At 39.6% G+C, this 20012-nt stretch overlaps 1 protein-coding gene across 1 annotated transcript in view; it reads left to right on the top strand.

Annotated features, from left to right (window-relative positions):
• The window catches only part of DNER (delta/notch like EGF repeat containing), a 356927-nt gene that overhangs the window by 200428 nt on the left and 136487 nt on the right, over positions 1-20012 (top strand). Inside the window, exon 6 of the mRNA NM_139072.4 lies at positions 1192-1345. Coding sequence (NP_620711.3) covers positions 1192-1345 — 154 coding nt within the window. The remainder of the gene's footprint in view (positions 1-1191; positions 1346-20012) is intronic.

The raw sequence follows: 20012 nt of genomic DNA, 5'->3' as shown, positions 1-20012 counted from the left end.
ACATAAATATTCAGGAGTAAATTTATCAAGAAATGTGCAGGAATTATGAAACTTGATTGAGAGACAAAAATGTACTAAAGAGAAGAATGGATAACCCTTTTCTCTTCAAGGGGAAGGCAGGCAGTGGGTTGTACTTATGGGGGGTACTGGGTGGAGATCCTGAGTTGACAGTGCTTGGAGAAGAGGAGAGAGTCTCTTTCTAAGATTAGCAGCGGGAGGCTGAGGACAGGGAGAGGGAGGGAGGGTGAGGGGATAATGGCTGGGGAATGGTAGAGATTGAACATCTGCCCCATGTGCCAGGCTTGGAGATGAGCTGGGCAAGGGGCTTTTGTCTGTTTTGTTTAGATTTTCTTAAGTAGTAAGATCTGTTAATGTCATTCTCCTTTGCCTCTCCTCCTCTCTTCCTCATAAAAATCTTCTGTAATGATCTATATTGCTTTGTGTAGGCTTTGGGGACAGATTTGTGGTTTATTTCAGACATGCCCGTACCCCTAGGCTGTCATTAAGAAGGGGACAGAAACCCAGTTTTGTTTGTATTTTGCACCTATCTCAGAAATGAAGCTTCAAGTCAAATTCCATTCTCTGTGTCTGAGTTATGGTCTTTTACTAAGATAATGTTAATATCATAAGCGATACAAAATGGTTACTTGAATTATACTCCTTTTATTTTCCCTTGCACTCAGGTAATCTGCATGGCTGTACATTGAGGCCAGTTGAAGGAGTGATTCAGTGCATTTTCTCAGTGTTCTGAAAGGACGGTCTGGGTTGGACATTTGATGACATCTTTGTTGCAAGTGCTATCTCTGTTGAAGGTTTTAGTTGGTTGGAGTGACATCTAGTTTAATGGCTGTAGCATTAAACTATCTGCTCTAGCAAAATTGCCATTTCCATGTCTGGCCAGCAAAACTTCAATTTTAGCTTAAAACAAGTTCATTTCATTTCTATTTTAGGAAGATCGAAAATGACGGGGATAAATATGAACAAAGAATAGAAAAACGTGTTTGAGATTAGACTGTAAAGAAACTACTGTTTGTCTTAAAGCGATGATTTCAACTAGATTATGACATAAGTGATTTGATTAAATTGCTGATTATAAAAAGGAAGTGGTTCTTTCAAACTTTGAGTCTCACAGCCAAAGCACACTGTTGAGAGGTGCCAGGTAATAGACACTGTGCTTTTTTTGTGTTTTAGGCAACTTTTTCCTGTACCTGTGAGGAGCAGTACGTGGGTACTTTCTGTGAAGAATACGATGCTTGCCAGAGGAAACCTTGCCAAAACAACGCGAGCTGTATTGATGCAAATGAAAAGCAAGATGGGAGCAATTTCACCTGTGTTTGCCTTCCTGGTACGACACATACTCATGGTTCAGTTATTAGGTGTATGTCTGTACAGCATGCACCTCTTGTTTTTTATTTACAAAGGTTTTTGGAGAACAGGTGGTACTTGGTTACATGAGTAAGTTCTTTTTGGTGATTTGTGAGGTTTTGGTGCACTCATCACCCAAGTAGTATACACTGAACCCAATTTGTGATCTTTATTCCTCATCCCCTTGTCACCCTTCCCCCTGAGTCCCCAAAGTTCATCGTGTCATTCATATACCTTTGCATTCTCATAGTTTAGCTCCCATTTATGAGTGAGAACATATGATGTTTGGTTTTTCATTCCTGAGCTACTTCACTTAGAGTGATAGTATCCTGTCCCATCCAGGTTGCTGTGAATGCCATTAATTAATTTTTTTTTTTTTTTTGAGACAGAGTCTCACTCTTTCCCAGTCTGGAGTGCAATGGTGTGATCTCGGCTCACTGCAACCTCTGCCTCCTGGGCTCCAGTGATTCTCCTTCCTCAGCCTCCCAAGTAGCTGGGATTACAGGCATGCGCCCCCACACCCAGCTAATTTTTGTGTTTTTAGTAGAGATGGGGTTTCATCATGTTGGCTAGGCTGGTCTTGAACTTCTGACCTCAGGTGATCCACCTGCCTCCACCTCCCAAAATGCTGGGATTACAGGCATAAGACACTTTGCCCAGCCTAATTCATTCCTTCTTATGGCTGAGTAGTATTCCATCGTATATATATACCACAGTTTCTTTATCCACTCGTTGATTGATGGGCATTTGAGCTGGTTCCACATTTTCAGCATACACTTCTTAGTCAAGCATGGTTAAACAATGCTGTGCCCAGCTGTTGAACAAGGCAGCTTCAAGATCTCATTTGATGCTATCAGTCTATGCTTTATGTAATCAGGGAATGGAAGAAGAAAGTTCACATGGGGCTACGCAATATGTCTCTTGGCTTTCTGACATTAGAATGCTTCTGTTTCAGCATTACCCCATTTTTGTTCAGGGAAAATAATATTCTCAGCCCAATAGAGGCTTGGACATGTTAAAAACAATTCCACAAGTATGTACTGAGTGTGGGCTGGCACTGTGCAGGGTGATTATATTAAGTAACTGAAGAAAAACCCAGGATAAACCACAAAAGCCACCTAATCTTCTTGTTTATATTAATTTCCTTTTGTTCATGTATGTTCATTAGTTCAAATTCCTGCTACCTTGTTCTCCACAATGGGAAGTTTTTAACATTTCTTGGTTAGTGTGGTGTGTTCTTGGGTGTTACATGAGACTTGGAAATCCTCAGAGCACATTGAGGGCCTCTAGGGAGAGTGCAGTGGACAGTGTTGCTGTAGACTTCATGCTCTGACAATCATCTTAATTGACTTACTGCTCAGCCAACTTGGTTACAAACCCTTCAGGAGCAGGAATGGCATTTTACCAGGGAACGTTTTGACACAGCTATTTTGATGCATCTTAAAAGCAAACACCAAGTTGTTCTTATTTTGTTATAAAATAATGTGCAAAACTGACATCATCTTTTCTCTTTCCATCCCATTCTCTTGCCAGCTTCTGCCACTGGGTGGGGATTCAGGATAAGGTAGGAGTTGGGGGTGAAAAAGGGATGGAATGAAGTGGGCATGGGGGTTATTAAGTACTCATTGTAAGAAACAAGACAGTCAGCAAAGCAGAAATTTATAAAAGTGAAATTCATTTACTTATCTATTCCCACCTAAACTTTATCAAATCATAGGGATAGGTTAATATTTCGTATATTCTTTCATTGTGTGTGTGTGTCTGTGTGTAGGTCAGAGTGTGTGTATTTCTCTTGCAGGCCAGATGATTAAGTATTTTTCTACATGTTTTTAAAAAGTGATATGATACATATTGTTCTATAACTTGCCTTTTTTCAGTATGCATTTGGCAGTGGATCACAGACATCATACCAAGTCAGTTTATATGGAGTGACCTCATTCATTTGAACAGTTACATGGTGTCCCCAGATTTTTATCTCCAGGTGAGGCTCCCCTCCAGACCTACTTACTTGACAGCCTACATGGCATCTCCATTTAGGTGTCCCAGGACAACCTAAGCTCAGTCATCTCCAAACTGAACTCATCGTGTTCCCAGCCCTACACAGCTCGTCTTCCAGCGTTCCATCCATTTCTAGAAGCCAGACATCTCTACAAGTCATTCTAGGTGCCTCCCTCTCCCTCTCTCTTCATATTTTTTCCACCTCTGATGCTCTCCATTTTACCACCTAGAGAATTCTCAAATCCTCCACCCTCTGTAGCCCCACTGCCAACACCTTCAGGCTAGTGGCCTTTGCCCCTTGCCTGTGCTGCTGAGATGGCCTCCTGCTGTTCCTCCAACAATTCTTGACCCTGCTGCACACTAGAGCCAGGGTTCTCATGTCAAAGTGGGCATCGGCCTTTGCCTCATCCATGCCCGGACCCTCCATTCTCCACGTGGCTGCAGGGCATCCCTTCGCAGTGAGATTCTGATGTAGTTGCTTTTCTGCTTAAACTTCTTCTTCACATTGCTCTTTGAACAACGATTGAAATCCTTGGCCTCATTCTGCACCAGGATATGTCTTTTGCCTGCTTTTCCAGCCCTATCTCACCCCCATGTCTCCCTTGCCCTGGTTTCAGCCACCTTTACCTTTTGCCTCTGTAATAGCTTGATCTCTCATCTGCCACAGGATCCACCCTCTCAACCTTGTGCTTGGACAATACTTCCTCCCTGTCTCCTTTTTGCTTGGGTAACTACTCCCAGATCTCTGTTGTTTCAGGCCTCTATTAAATGTCCCTTTTCTCAGGAAGTCTTGGCTGCAGGCTTCAAGATAAGTCTCTCTCCATTTTTCTCTTCTATAACCCTGTATTCCTTACTTCACAGTACTGTCTGTTTTCAGCATACATTTGTGTGTGTGACTCTTTGATTACTACCTGTCTCCCCTTTTTTATTTTATATTTTATTTTATTTTGAGACAGAGTCTTGCTCTTGTTGCCTGGGCTGGAATGCAGTGGCATGATCTCGGCTCACTGCAACCTCTGTCTTCCAGGTTCAAGAGATTCTCCTGCTTCAGCCCTCCTAAGTAGCAGGGATTACAGGCACCCACTACCATGCCCGGGTAATTTTTGTACTTTTAGTAGAGACAGGGTTTCACCATGATGGCCAGGCTGGTCTCAAACTCCTGACCTCAGGAGATCTACCCATCTCGGCCTCCCAAAGTCCTGGAATTACAGGTGTGCGCCACTGCGCCTGGCCTGTCTTCCCTTTTTAAAAGGATTGTTAAGCCACATGAGGGCAGGACCTGGATCAGTTTTGTTCATGATTGTATTCCCACAGTGTCTGACAAATTGTGGACACTCAGTCAATGTGTTGATGAGATGAATTAATGAAAGAGTATAAATGTAGACAGATGTTTTAAGCTATTCCTCTATTGATGAATCTTTTAGATGGTTGCAATATCTCTTTTGGAAGTAATGTTAAATAAAGATCCTTTTACAAATAGTCTCAATCAGAGCTGGCTGGTGGAGGTTTTCGATATATTTGGACTGACATGATTTCAGTTTGATATTTTTTATCTAGGTTTGTTCTCAAAGGGGATTCATCTTTTTTTAAAGGATTTTATGTGCACAGAATTGAATTGATGATAACACCCGGTCTGTGGCACTCTCCGATCTTGTTCACGCATAGCCTATTTTTACATATTTGCTAAGCACCAGTGAAACCACCACCAAAAACAGAAGTTGTTTCTGACAACTAACCTTATAGGCTCCTCCTTTGTTCATCCCTTCACCTCTCCTTTCTCTCCAGAGATAACAGATAACAACCACCCTGAATCTTGAGTTGATCAGTTCTTTGTTTGCTTTTTCTTTTCTTTTCTTTTCTTTTCTTTTCTTTTCTTTTCTTTTTGAGATGGAGTCTCACTCTGTCGCCCAGGCTGGAGGGCAGTGGTGCGATCTCAGCTCACTGCAAGCTCCGCCTCCCAGGTTCACGCCATTCTCCTGCCTCAGCCTCCCGAGTAGCTGGGACTACAGGTGCTTGCCACCACGCCCGGCTAATTTTTTGTATTTTTAGTAGAGACGGGGTTTCACCATGTTAGCCAGGATGGTCTCGATCTCCTGACCTCGTGATCTGCCCGTCTCGGCCTCCCAAAGTGCTGGGATTACAGGCATGAGCCACCGCGCCCAGCCTGTTTTCCTTTTTAATCATTTTAATATTTACATGTTTTTATAGAAACATTTATTTTTAATTCTTTTAAAATTTATAAAAATGGTATCATGCATGATTCATGTTATGGTATCATGCATGCAATTCTCTGGCACTTACTTTTTCACTTAATACTGTTATTACTAAGACATCCATAGTGTTGGAGTTCTTGACTGCCATATAAAATTCCATTCTATGAACAGGCACAGATATGCATTCTTGTATGTCTTCTGTTGTGTATGTGCTGGAGGTTTTTAAGGTATATACCTAGAAGTAAAATTGTGGAACATAAAATATGTAATTGACCAATTATAGGAGGTCATATCAAACTGTTTTTCCCAAGTGTTGCACTAATATCTACTCACATGTGCAGTATACAAGTGAGTTTGTAGACTCACATCTTCTTCAGCATTTGGTAGTGTCAGAGTTCTTAATGTCTGCCCACTGGATAGGTATAAAAAGGAGTCTCATTATGGCCTCTGTAGTCTGCTGAACACTAATCATGCTGAACTCCTCTTCATATGTTTATGTGCCATTATCTGTGTGTGTGTGCACACTCTTCTTGTTGATTTGTTAGAATTCTTTATTTTTGATACTAATAATTTGTTATACAAATTGTAAATATGTTCTTCAAGTTTGTAACTTGTCTTTTGACTTCAAGGGCTCTTTTGAGGAATAGACATTATATTTCTCAAACTTTACTTTTCTGGTTAATACATTTATGTCCAATTTAAGAAAATGTTTCCCTGCATGAAGATCTAAAGGATATTAACCTTGTTTTCCACTAAACATTTAAAAATTTTGTTTTATACCAAAGTCTTTAATCAATATGAATTTGATTTACATATATATAGTATGAAATAGAGATCCAATTTCCTATGTTATAATTTTATTTTTAATCTTCAGAAATACACCATTTCTATAAATACATAGTATATGATACTTTATAACGTGTCCCTATTTCTTCAAAGCTACAGACAGAATTTGGAATAACTAAATAGCTGTGTATTTTAAATTGTGCCTATTATCTTCTCAGCATTTCTGCACTGTCATGGTTAAACCATTGATTTGAAATTTCCAGAAACGTAATTAATTATTTTTGCTTGTTAATGGGAAAAAGAATTTTACTGTTACCATCTAAGGTGACTTAATGTCTCCAATGCTAATAGCACATTATAGCACATGTAGGCATATAGGAATCTCCTTGGGCCTTCTACTAACAACAGTAACAATAATAGAAGTATAGTCATGTACATGTACATGTACAACAGTAACAATAATAGAAGTATAGTCATGACGGACCACATACTGACAGTCAGTGATGGACCGCATAAACAGTGGTGTGCCATAAGATTACAATGCTGTATTTTGATGGTAACTTTTCTATGTTTAGATATATTTAGACATGCGTAAACAATGATGTGCCATAAGATTACAATACTGTGTTTTAATAGTAACTTTTCTATGTTTAGTTATGTTTAGACACAAATATACTTATCATTGTGTTGCAGTTGCCTACAGTATTCAGTACAATAACATGCTGTACAGATTTGTAGCCTAGGAGCAATAGGCTATCCTGTATAGCCTAGGTGTGTAGTAGGCTATATCATCTAGGTTTGTGTAAGTAAATTCCATGACATTAGCATAATGACGAAATCACCTAACAACACGTTTCTTAAAACATATCCCCATCATTACGCAATGCATGATTGTAATACTTTGACTTTCAGTTGACATCAGGACCATAGCATAGGGACATGGATGAAGCTGGAAACCATCATTCTCAGCAAACTATCACAAGGACAGAAAACCAAACACCGCATGTTCTCACTCATAGGTGGGAAGTGAACAGTGAGAACACTTGGACACAGGAGGGGAACATCACACACCGGGGCCTGTGGTGGGGTAGGGGGAGGGGGGAGGGATAGCATTAGGAGATATACCTAATGTAAATGATGAGTTACTGGGTACAGCACACCAACATGGCACATGTACACATATGTAACTAACCTGCACATTGTGCACATGTACCCTAGAACTTAAAGTATAATAAAAAAAAAAAGAAAAAAAAAGGCCATAGCATTTTTGCATTACAAATATATGAACTTTGATAATTGTACTTAGACTCCTGGTATGGTTTGGCTCTGTGTCCCTACCCAAATCTCCCCTTGAATTGTAATAATCCCCATGTGTCAAGGGTGGGATGAGGTGGAGATAATTAACTCATGGGGGCAGTTTCCCCCATGTTGTCCTTGTGATAGTAATTCATTACAAGATTTGATGGTTTTATAATGGTTTTGCTCAGTTCTCATTCTTCTCTTTCCTGCCAGCATGTAAAGAAGGACATGTTTGCTTACTCTTCCTCCATGATTGTAAGTTTCTTGAGGCCCCCCAGCCCTGTGGAACTGTGAGTCAATTAAACCTCTTTCCTTTATAAATTACCCAGTTTTGGGTATTTCTTCATAGCAGCATGAGAACAGACTAATACAACCCCAAAACAGTTTGGTGGTTGCTGGTAAATTCATCAGAATTGTGCTGGAACCCAGGAGATGGCAAATTGATCTTGATTCACGAAACAGTCATCTGTTATGTCTTCTATTAAAACAACAAAGCTATTTTATAGCCCCACACTTGTAAATAATAGCAAATTATGGTTTAAGTAAGCTGCTTTCTGATAATAGTTCTACCATTTTCTGAATATTGCAGATTGAAAGCTCCCATTTTCATGAAATAATATGAAATTAGATATAGGTGCCTTTGTGCATTGGTCACAGTCTAAACAAGTTTCAAAAATAATATCTTTTTACATTGACATTTACATCATATTGTTTTATTTTCTGAGGTTCTTGAAACGTGTATAATTTGCTTAGAGTTAGTTTTCCATGTGTGAGAAAAATCCCTCCATGTGAAAGGTCTTTCTTGTTTAATATAATTTAAGGCAGCCGTAGAACCATAGTAGCAATTTAAAATAATTCATTTCTGCTCTCCTTGAATCTGTAGCTCTCCTGTCATCTGTCTCACCTTCCACTTTGCCCAAAGGTCACCCCTGCCTCTGTCAGGGTCTCTCTGACTCCCAGCTACTTTTCTTCATTGCATTTTCACAGAGATGGGTCCAGGGGACCCCCCCGGCTCTACTCTTTTTTATGCTTTAGCACAAATCCTGATCAGGGGTAGAAGAGATTTAGGAATGTTACCTTGGCATCATAACTCCCTCTTTGCTCATCTATCTGATAACTTGTTCTTGAGTTTCCTTAAGAAGGTTTCTTCTTTGCCAGTTCCGATTCCCTGCAGGAACCCCCATTCCCATAGGTTTCTCTCTCTCTCTTTTAGCTTAGCTTCTAGTGCTGCTTTTTTATTGTAGCCAACACACACACACACACACACACACACACACACACACACACACTGCAGCAACACATAATCCTCAAGCCTCAGTGGCTTCCAAGCCAAGGTTAATTTTTGCTTGTGTCATAGTCTGATGGGGGCACTTAGCCTTCAGGTGGTGACTCAGGGATCCAGGTCCCTTCATGTTATGAACATATCATCCTCAAGAGGTGGCCTTCACAGTACTGCTGAAGGCAAAGGGACGGCTGGAGGGTCCTATGCAATGTTCTTAGGGCAGTGCCTAGTAGCATCTGCTATCCCTTCCACCACATGCCATTTGCCAGAATTTAGTTGTTATTCCCTAAAGTCACTGACTAGGAAGAGGAAACAACATGGGGAACACGTCTTGTCCATGCCATGCCAGGTGCAAGCACCAGTAGCTGTTGGGGCTGGGATTTGAACCCAGGTCCTTCTGCAGGATTATTGATCATCTTACTATAATGTTTTTCTGTGTTTGCAACTATGTGGTGTGCTGAGTAATTTCCTGTCACAAATGCATGGTTTAAGACAATGTAATCCCTTCAGCATTTCCATGTCAAAAGATCTCTTTATAATAAAATAAATATTAGGCAATTTTGTGTAAAAAAAGGGGGCTGATGTTTAAAAGGGAGTTCACTAATGAGTTTAGTTCTGAACATCTTTTATTGTTGTTCATCACTTTATTCTAAAGAATATTACAGGGCCGGGCATGGTGGCTCATGCCTGTAATCCTAGCACTTTGGGAGGCCGAGGCAGGCAGATCACCTGAGGTCAGGAGTTTGAGACTAGCCTGGCCAATATGGCGAAACCCTCTCTCTACTAAAAATACAAAAATTAGCCAGGCATGGTGGTGGGTGCCTGTAATCTTAGTTACTTGGGAGGCTGAGGCAGGAGAATCGCTTGAACCCGGGAGGCAGAGGTTGCAGTGAGCCAAGATCACACCACTGCACTCCAGCCTGGGCAACAGAGTGAGACTCTGTCTCAAAAATAAGTAAGTAAATAAATAAGTAAATAAAGGATATTACAAAGGGTATAGATGAAGAGATACACAGGGCATCGATATATATATGTGACTGGGTGTGTGTACACTCATGTGTGCATGCACATACACACGTCACCACAGGCCATCTCCTGGTTTTCAAACACAGATCAGTTACATCAAAAGAATACACAACTCAGCTGGGCACGGTAGTTCACGCCTGTAATCCCAGCACTTTGGGAGGCCAAGGTGGGCAGATCACTTGAGCCCAGGAGTTTCAGACCAGCCTGGGCAACATGGCAAAACTCCATCTCTACAAAAAAACCTCAAAAATTAGCTGGGCATGTTGGTGTGCATCTGTAGTACCAGCTACTCAGGAGGCTGAAGTGGGAGGATCACTTGAACCCAGGAGGCAGAGGTTGCAGTGAGCTGAGGTAGTGCTACTATATTCAACCCAGGTGACAGAGTGAGATGCTGTCTCAAAACAAACAAGCAAACAAGCAACAAAAAAGTATGTATAACTCAAAAGATACCCCCACATTACTAGAATCCTATTCAGTCATTAGTTATCAGTCCAGTCCGTCATACTGCATGAATGTCTCCCAGGCTGTGGCCATTGGGTTTGCAGGCTTCCTTTTTATCTCATTGGGTTCCAAAAGCAGGAGTGGTCTTTGGCAAACATGTATTGTACCCTTTAAGGCATCTGTTATAATTGAGCTGAGACAATGTCGTCTCTTGCTCTGAGACTCTTTCGAGATGATAGTGCATCCTATTTATTTATTCCTTTACCCTCAGCTACTATTTCTCCTTTTTCCATTTGTCATTTATTTTTACTCAACTTTTCCACCTCTGGAAGGGACATTAGGTTTGGCCACTCTGCTGGTCCAGACTGCTGGTAACAATGCTAGTCCAGCAAGGGCCTCTCCTCAGTCTATACCCATTCGTGTAGGGTAAGGTTACATAGGCTCTGAACTAGTGAACCATTTTTACCACCCAGGCAATAGAGCCGTATTCACTCTTAGCCCCAGTTTTGCCAGTGGGGGTCAAAGCATAACCTACCCCCATTAGGTCCTTAGGAATTCTGACATAAGGTTGAAAAACACAGTTACAGTTTTCGGTTTAGAAATCATCCCTGCTTCCAGTACTTGCAGTTGTGGCCCTAGTACAAGGACCATTGTATCAGGTAGTGGAGAAAAAAGAATTATTTGAGGGGTAACTTGGGAAAGAAAGAAAAAATTATAGTTGTTATTACCAGTGCACTCTCTACCTTGGCAAGAATTGCTTAATCATACCAGCATTCTCGCTATCCCCTCTCCCCAAGATCAGCCAGAGGAAAAAAATATCTAAGGGGGACACCCCTTTAATCCCATTCATATGCAGTGTGAGCACACAGCTGCGAAACCAGGTAAACCAGCCCTGCCTGCCGTCTCCTTATTTCAGGCAACCATTGTTTCAGTTACCTGTCCTATTTCTCTATCAAACTATCACTCTGAGGAGGATATCTCTACCCATTGTTGGACATTATGGGCTGTATAGTGTGTTCATTGGTCTGAAGAAATGATAACCATCCAAATCCATGTAATATCTTCTGTTTCTTGTTTTTTGTTTTTGTTATGGCACTCCGAGCATTTTCATCTTCCGCAGGGTAAACAAAGCCCAGTCCAGAGTCAGTGTCTATTCCCGTCAAGACCTATTTGTAGCTCCCCGGGCTGCCAGCATCAGTCCCACTCATCAGCTGTGTTCAGGGCCTTCTTTCCCCACAGAGAATCTGCCCCATAGCCATCGGCAGTCTCTGTCTCTCTTATTGACAAGCAGTACAGTTTTGGCATTATGTGCCCAAGGAGGGTGCAAGAGGAACGTATCTAGGTTCAGCCCATCTCTGCACTGCTGCGGTGCCCCCATATCCCATATCCACCCATTTCATGGACTCAGGTGGCCTCCTCAAGGGAGCACCCGTAGATATCTGTTTGTTGATTCCAGTCACCTTCTGAGCCTGGATGAGAGTTCTTCTGATGGGCACTGATGGGTTCTACTTTAATGCACCCCTCAAATCTTCATAGGGCCATGCTCCATATGGGTTTCCTTTCGATAGGACAGGTTTCCACTGCCCTCTTGCCTGAGTATATGGCCAGGCCATTGGTCACTGCCCAGTGAGTCAGTGAAAACCCAAACACAGGGGCTTCCACCACTGTTAGTTCTTCCGTTACTCTTAGAAAAACAGCATGCAATTCAGCCCACTGAGCAGATCAGATTTTACCTTCTTTGACCAAAGCAGCAGCTTTCCAAACAGTATATTGTCCATTCACTTTGCAACTGCTGTCTGTAAGCCAGGCCGCTCCTTGTTGGTCAACTATGAGCTGCTGGATATCCTTGAACCAATTATTTTTCCATAGGAAAATTGCATTTTCTTTGTGGGTTAACTATTTATAATTAATTAATATCAATTAATTAACCTCCGAAACACCAGATAAATACACAAAAACCTTCAAACAGAGGGGAGTGTGCCTTCTTTTTGAAAATGTATCCCACTATGCTCTAATTATTACAAGTTTGATCATGCAAAATTATTTTGTTTGATGAATGAATTAATTCAAACTGTGTTGTTGTCACCAGAGAACAAAAACTCTCAACAAAGTCTCTTCACAGAAGGATTGTTGTCTTGACACAAGGCTTATTTCTCTTGAGAGGAGAATGTTTCTTGGTAAGGGAAAATATTTTCAGCAAAGAATCTGCAGCTCCAAATTTGTTAAATTTTTTGACATTTTTGCTTTAATTTCTATGTCAAGTATCAGTACAAAATTTTTTTTTTAGTTATGGGTAATCTAGAATGCATGAATATGGCAGATTGGGTTTTGAGTTGGTTAAGTGATAAACATTTTTCTTTAGTTTTCTTTTTCTTTTTTTTTTTAACCTAACATACTTATCATTTCTTTGTGGTGAGAACACTTAAAATCCACTTTCTTAGCATTTTTTAAGGATATAATACATTGTGACTAACTATAGTCACGGTGTTGTACAATAGATCTCTGGAAGCATTCCTCCTGAGATTTTGTATCCTTTGACCAACCTAGGTACTCTTTTAAATCTCTCCAATCTTGTCCTCCCCTCCTCCTACCCTCCTGGTAATCACCATTCTCTCTACTTCTATGAGTTTGCCTATTTGAGAGTCATCATATAGGTGGTATCACACAGCATTTCTCCTTCTGTGTCTGGCTTATTTCCCTTAGCACAATGTCCTCCAGGTTGATTCATGTTGTTGTAGATGACACAATTTTCTTCTTTTGAAAACCAAACATCGTATGTTCTCACTCATAAGTGGGAGCTAATCTATGAGAATGCAAAGGCATAAGAATGATACAATGGACTTTGGGGACTCGGTGGAAAGGGCGGGAGGGGGGTGAGAGATAAAAGACTGCAAGTTGGGTACAGTGTATACTGCTTGGGTGGTAGGTGCATCGAAATCTTACATATCGCCATAACCTACTCTTGTAACCATACACAATCTGTTCCCCCGAAACCTATGGAAATTTTGAAAAAAGGCCAAATAGTATTCTATTGTGTATATATACACCACATTTTCTTTATTCACTCACCTGTTGATGGATACTTAGACTGAATCCATATCTTGACTATTCGTAAATAATGCTACAATGAACATGATAGTGGAAATATCACCTCGAAATACTGATTTCAATTCCTTTGGATATATATCCAGTAGGGAGATTACTGCATCATGCAGTAGTTCTATTTTAGTTTTTTGAGGAACTTAAATACTGTTTTTCATAATAGTTACACTACTTTGCATTCCCAGTGTTCAAGAGTCCCTTTTCCTCCACATCCTCACCAACACATATTATCTTTTGTCTTTTTGATAATAGCTATTCTGACAGGTGTGACTTGATATCTCATCGTGGTTTTAATTGACACTTCCCTGATGATCAGTGATTTTGAGTCTTCTTTCATATACTTGTTGGCCATTTGTATGTCTTTCTTTAGAAAGCTTATTCAGGGCCGGGCACGGTGGCTCACGCCTGTAATCCTGGCACTGTGAGAGGCCGAGGAGGGCAGATCATGAAGTCAGGAGATTGAGACCATCCTGGCTAACACGGTGAAACCTGGTCTCTACTAAAAATACAAAAAATTAGTTGGGCGTGGTGGCAAGTGCCTGTAGTCCCAGCTACTCAGGAGGCTGAGGCAGGAGAATCGCTTGAACCTGGGAGGTGGAGGTTGCAGTGACCGAGATTGTGCCACTGCACTCCAGCCTGGGTGACAGAGTGAGACTCTGTCTTGAAGAGAAAAAAAAAAAAAAAGAAAGAAAGTCTATTCAGATTTTTTGCCCATTTTTAAAATTGGCTCATTTGTTTTCTTGCTATTGAGTTGTTTGAATACCTTATATATTTGAAATAGCAATTCTTTATCAGACGTGTGGTTTGCAAGTATTTTCTCTTATTCTGCAGGTTGTATTTTCACTCCATTGATCGCTTCTTTTGCCATGCAGAAGCTTTTTAGTTTGATGTAATCCCGTTTGTCTATTTTTGCTTTTGTTGCCTGGGCTTTTGGGGTTATATGCAAAAAAAATCATTGCACAGACAATTGCCACAGAGCTCTTCTATTTTTTTTTTTCTGTTTAACAGTTTCAGGTCTGATATTTAAGTCTTTAAATTGATGTTTTGCATATGATGTGAGATCAGAGTCCAATTTCATTCTTCTGCATGTGGATGTCCAGTTTTCCCACCACCATTTATTTTAGAGACTGTCTATTCCCAATTTTTAAATTTCCTTTTTTTTTTTTTTTTTGAGTTGGAGTCTTGCTGTGTTGCTCAGGCTGGAGTGCAGTGGCATGATCTTGGCTCACTGTGACCTCTGCTTCCTGGGTTCAAGCGATTCTCCTGCCTCAAACTCCTGAGTAGCTGGGACTACAGGCACCCACCACCATGCCCAGCTAATTTTTCAATTTTATTAGAGACAGGATTTCACCATATTGGCCAGGCTGGTCTCAAACTCCTGACCTCAGGTGATCTGCCCGCCTCGGCCTCCCAAAGTGCTGGGATTACAGGTGTGAGCCACTGCACCTGGCCCTGTTCCCCATTTTATGTTCTTGGCATCATTGTTGAAAATCAAGTGACTGCAAAAGCATAGATTTGTTTTTAAGCTCTCTGTTGTGTTCCATTAGTATGCATCTGTTTTCATGCCAGCACCATGCTGTTTTGATTGCTATAGTTTTGTAGTATATTTTGAAATCAGGTAGTGTGATCCCTCCTGCTTTGCTCTTTTTACTCAAGATTGATTTTAGCTATTTGGAGTCTTTTGTGGTTCCATACAAATTTTAGAATTTTTTTAAAATTTCTGTGGAAAATGTCATTGGAATTTTTGTAGGAATTTCATTGAATCTGTAGATTGCTTTAGATAAAATGGACATTTTAACAATATTAACTCTTCCCATCCATGAACACAGGAAATCTTTCCATTTATTTTTGTCTTCTTCAATTTTTTTGTCAGAATTTTATAGTTTTAAATTTACAGATATTTCCCCTACTTGGTTTAATGTATTTCTAAGTATTTTATTTTGTAGTTACTATAAAGAAAACTGTTTACTTCATTTATTTTTTAGGTAGGTCATTGTTAGTGTACAGAAATGCTACTGCATTTTGTATGTTCATTTTGTATCCTCCATATTTACTGAATTCATTTATTAATTGTAGCAGTCCTTTTGTGGGGTTTTAAATAATTTCTATATATAAGGTCATGTCATCAGCAAACAGTCTAACTTCTTCCATTCTGATTTGGAAGCGTTTTATTTCTTTTTCTTGCCTAATTGCTCTGGCTAGTATATTAAGTTATATGTTCAATAGAAGTGGTGAGAGTGGGCCACTCATTCCTGATCTTAGAGGAAAATCTTTCAACTGTTTACTACTGAGTATGATGTTAGCTTTGGGCTTGTCATATATGGCCTTTATCGTGTTGAGCTACATTCCTTCTATACCTAGTTTGTTAAGAGTTTTTATCATGAAAGGATGCTAAATTTGGTCAAATGCTTTTTCTGCATCTATTGAGATGATGATGTGGTTTTTGCCCTTCATTCTTTTAAAGTAATATATCATATTTATTGATTTGCATATGTTGATCCTTCCTTGCATCCCATGGATAAATCCCACTTGATTGTGGTGAATGATTCTGTTAATATGGTATTAAATTCAGTTTGCTAGTGTTTTTTTGAGAATTTTTTCTTCTATGTTCATCAGGGACCTGTAGTTTTCTTTTGTCATAGTGTCCTTGTCTGGCTTTGGTATCAGGGTAACGCTGGCCTTCTCTTCCATATTTTGGAAGAGTTTGAGAAAAATTGGTATTAGCTCTTTAAATGTTTAATACAATTCAGCAGTGAAGCCATCAGTTCCTGAATTTTTCTTTGATGGGAGACTTTTTTATTACTGGCTCACTCTTTTACTCATTCTTGGTCTGTTCACATTTTCTATTTCTTCATGATTCAGTCTTGATAGATTGTATGTTTCTAGAAATTTATGCATTTGTTCTTGGTTATCCAATTTGTTGGTGTATTACTGGTTATAGTATTAGAGTAATTCTTTGTGTTATAGTATAACAAATCCTTTGTATCTCTGTGGTATCAGTTGTAATATCCCCTCTTTCATTTCTGTTTTTATTTAGTTAAGTCTTCTTTTTTACTTTGTTAGTCTAGCTAAAGTTTTGTTGACTTTATTTATCTTTAAAAAAAACAACTGATTAGTTTTGTTGATATTTTTCCTATTGTTTTTCTAGTTTCTAGTTTATTTATTTTTGATCTGATCTTCATTATTTCCTTCCTTATATTAACTTTGGGCTTTGTTCTTTGTCTAGCTTCTTTAGATGTAACATTGGGTTGTTTATTTGAGATCTTTCTTTTTTGATGTAGTTATTTATTGTTACATCCTTTCCTCTTAGAACTGCTTTAACTGCATCCTATTAGTTTTGGTATGTTGTGTTTCCATTTTTGTTTGTTTCAAGATATTTTTACATTTTTCTTTTGATTTATTCTTTGACTTATTGGTTGTGCAAGAGCATGTTGCTTAATTTTCATATATTTCTAAATTTTCTAAAATGCTTCCTGTTATCAGTTTCTACTTTCATATCATTGTAATATGAAAATATTATTGATGTGATTTCAATCTTCTTAAATTTGGTAGACTTGTCTTCTGGCCTAACATATGATTTGTTCTGGAGAATGCTCCACGTGGCTTGAGAAGAATGTATATGCTGCTGCTGTTGGGTGGAATGCTCTGTATATAACTGTTAGGTCCATTTGGCCTGAAGTACAGTCCAGCTCTGGTGTTTTCTTATTGATTTTCTGTCTGTATAGTCTCTCTATTTTTGAAAGTGGGGTATTGAAGTCCCCTGCTATTGTATTGCAGTCTAACTCTTCCTTCAGATATATTAATATTTGCCTTATGTATGTAGGGGCTCTGAAGTTGGGCACATATATATTTATAATTGTTATATCCTCTTATTGAATTGACCCCTTTGTCATTATATAATGACCATCTTTGCCTCTTTTTACAGTTTTTGACTCAAATTCTATTTTATTTTATTTAAGTGGAGCTATCCCTGCTCTCTTTTGGTTTCCACTTGCATGGAGTGTCTTTTTCCATTCCTTTACTTTGGATCTATGTGTGTCCTTAAAAGTGAAGTGAATCTCTGGTAGGCATCATATAATTAGGACTTAAAAAAATTCATGCATCCACTCTATGTCTTCTGCCTGGAAAATTAATCCATGTACATTCAAAATAATTATTGATAGGTGAGGACTTACTACTCTCTTTTTGTTTATAGTTTCTCTTTTAGTTTTCATTTTGATTCTTAATATAATTGCTTGGAAGCAGGAGGTGATCTTTTAACTTATAAATATTAATGAAGTCATATACATGTTTTCACAATATTAAATGGACTATAGATTTTGATCAGTAAAGTTTCTGTTTTGAGCAGAAAATTTTAATGAAGTGTAATTGATATTTTTCTTGAAACTTTCTCACAATACTTTCAAAAAGAAAGGGATTGTCATCCGCATCAATTACTGCAAGAAAATCTAAGAGGAGTTTATTAAACTTAGTAACAAGGTTTTTCAAGCCTGTGGTGGTTTTCCATTACATTGACCTGACATAGGCTATATCAGAAGCTTTGAGGTCTCTTTAAAAGACTGTAAGAACAGGAGCAAGAAGGGTAGTTAGGAGGTGCCAAACACTCTGTAGGGCAATACTGTGTCTAGAGCTGTCATACCCTCATGGTTTACATGTGGCCAATAAGTTATTAGACTGACCACCCACCTCAACCTCCCACCAGGTGATACTGGTTGGCAGTGATGAGCTGAACAGGAGGTAGACATGATATGAGAATGAGTGAGCAGCAAATACAGACTGCTCTAGAAATACGTTTAGTGGAAAAATTAATATGAGGAACAGAATCAAAGAAAGGTCTCTGTGATGGTTTATTTTATGTGTCAACTTGACTGGGCCAGCGGGTGCCGAGACATTTGGTCAAACATTATTCTGGGTGTGTCTATGAGGATGTCTCTAGATAAGTTTAACATTTGAATTGGTAGACTATGTAAAGAATATTACCCTTCCTAACGTGGGTGGGCCTAGGTTGAGGACCTGAGTAGAACAAAAAGGCTGAGTAAGAGGGAATTCCTCCTGCCTGACTGCCTTGAGCTGGGACATTGGTCTTTTCTTGCCTTCCAACTTCAGTTGAAATATTGGCCCTTCTTGGGTCTCGAGCCTGCTAGCTTTCAGACGGGAACTTACACCATCTCTCCTGGTTCTTAGGTCTTTAGACTCAGACTGGAATTGCATCATTGGCTTTCCTTAGTCTCCAGCTTGCTGACCATAGATATGGGGACTTCTCAGCCTCCATAATCATATGAACCAATGCCTTATAACACATCTCTTTATGTATATCTCCTATTGGTTCTGTTATAAAGTGGCAAAAACCTTGGCTGAGCTACATTCTAGTATTTTGTGAAAGGTAGAATTTGTTAGTGATGAAATTATATATTTAGCTGAATAGATTTCCAAGCAAAGTGTTGAAAGGCTGGATCCTGTTGACTACTCAAGTAAAATGCAAAAGGAGAGAGATGCATTGAAAAGGAAATTGTTAAGCTAAAACGGATCAGAACTTGAAGATTTGGAAAATTCTCAATCTATCTATATTGCAAAAAAATGAGAAAGTTGTTCTGAAGAGAATACTTAAGGTTGTGGCTGAGGAACCATTTGATAAAGAGATCATGGATATGATTCATGGGTTTAATCAGCAATCTCAGCAGAAGCCAGGAATTGAGATGGGATTTTACAATCAAAGACACTCTCAGTTTGAACTAAAGGGGACAGAGAAAATAGAGGTGGAATGAAGGAAGGCTGTCGGACTTCTTGGAATCTATAGGAGTGGAATATAGAGCTATTCAGCTGTGAATATGAGCTGTTCTTCAAGGAAAGGGAAAGAGGGCCCCAAAGGAGACTCAGAGATCAGCGGGGCTGTAACTCCCACTACAGAGATGGTATAATCCCACCTCTACTCCAGGTCTGGGGACAAGGCTTCCTCCTTTGTTTCTAAGGGTATGACAGCCTCCCAGATTTCAATGGGCCTGAATAACTGCCCAGTGTCTCTGGGGCAGGGCTGCCCTGCAAAGCTGTGGGGTGACACTGCCACACCAGGGGCCTGGAGGGCACAGCATCATACCAAAGAGGATTGCTCTTGAGCTGTTACGTTCTGATGGATTTTGCCTTGCTAGAGTTTTAGACTTGCTTGGGACTTGCCACCTCTTCTTTCCTTCCTAGTTCTTCCTTTTGGAATGGGAATATCTATCCTACACCTGTCCCACCATTGTATTTGGAAGCATATAACTTGTCTGATCTCACAGGTCCATGTGTGGAGAGGAATTTTGCCTCAGGATAAATCACACTTTGGGTTTCATTCATATCTGATTTAGATGGTATGTGGATGAGACTTAGGACTTTAGATATTAGGTATTATGCTAGAATGAGTTGAGACATTTGGGGCTGTTGGGAAGGAATGAATGTATTTTGTGTGTATGAGAAGAACCTGAATTTTGGAGAATCAGAGGTGGAATGCTGTGAACTGAATT

The sequence above is a fragment of the Homo sapiens genome, chromosome 2, assembly GCF_000001405.40.
Source record: "Homo sapiens chromosome 2, GRCh38.p14 Primary Assembly".
Taxonomy (NCBI): domain Eukaryota; kingdom Metazoa; phylum Chordata; class Mammalia; order Primates; family Hominidae; genus Homo; species Homo sapiens.
This window is presented reverse-complemented; position numbering and strand designations above follow the sequence as displayed.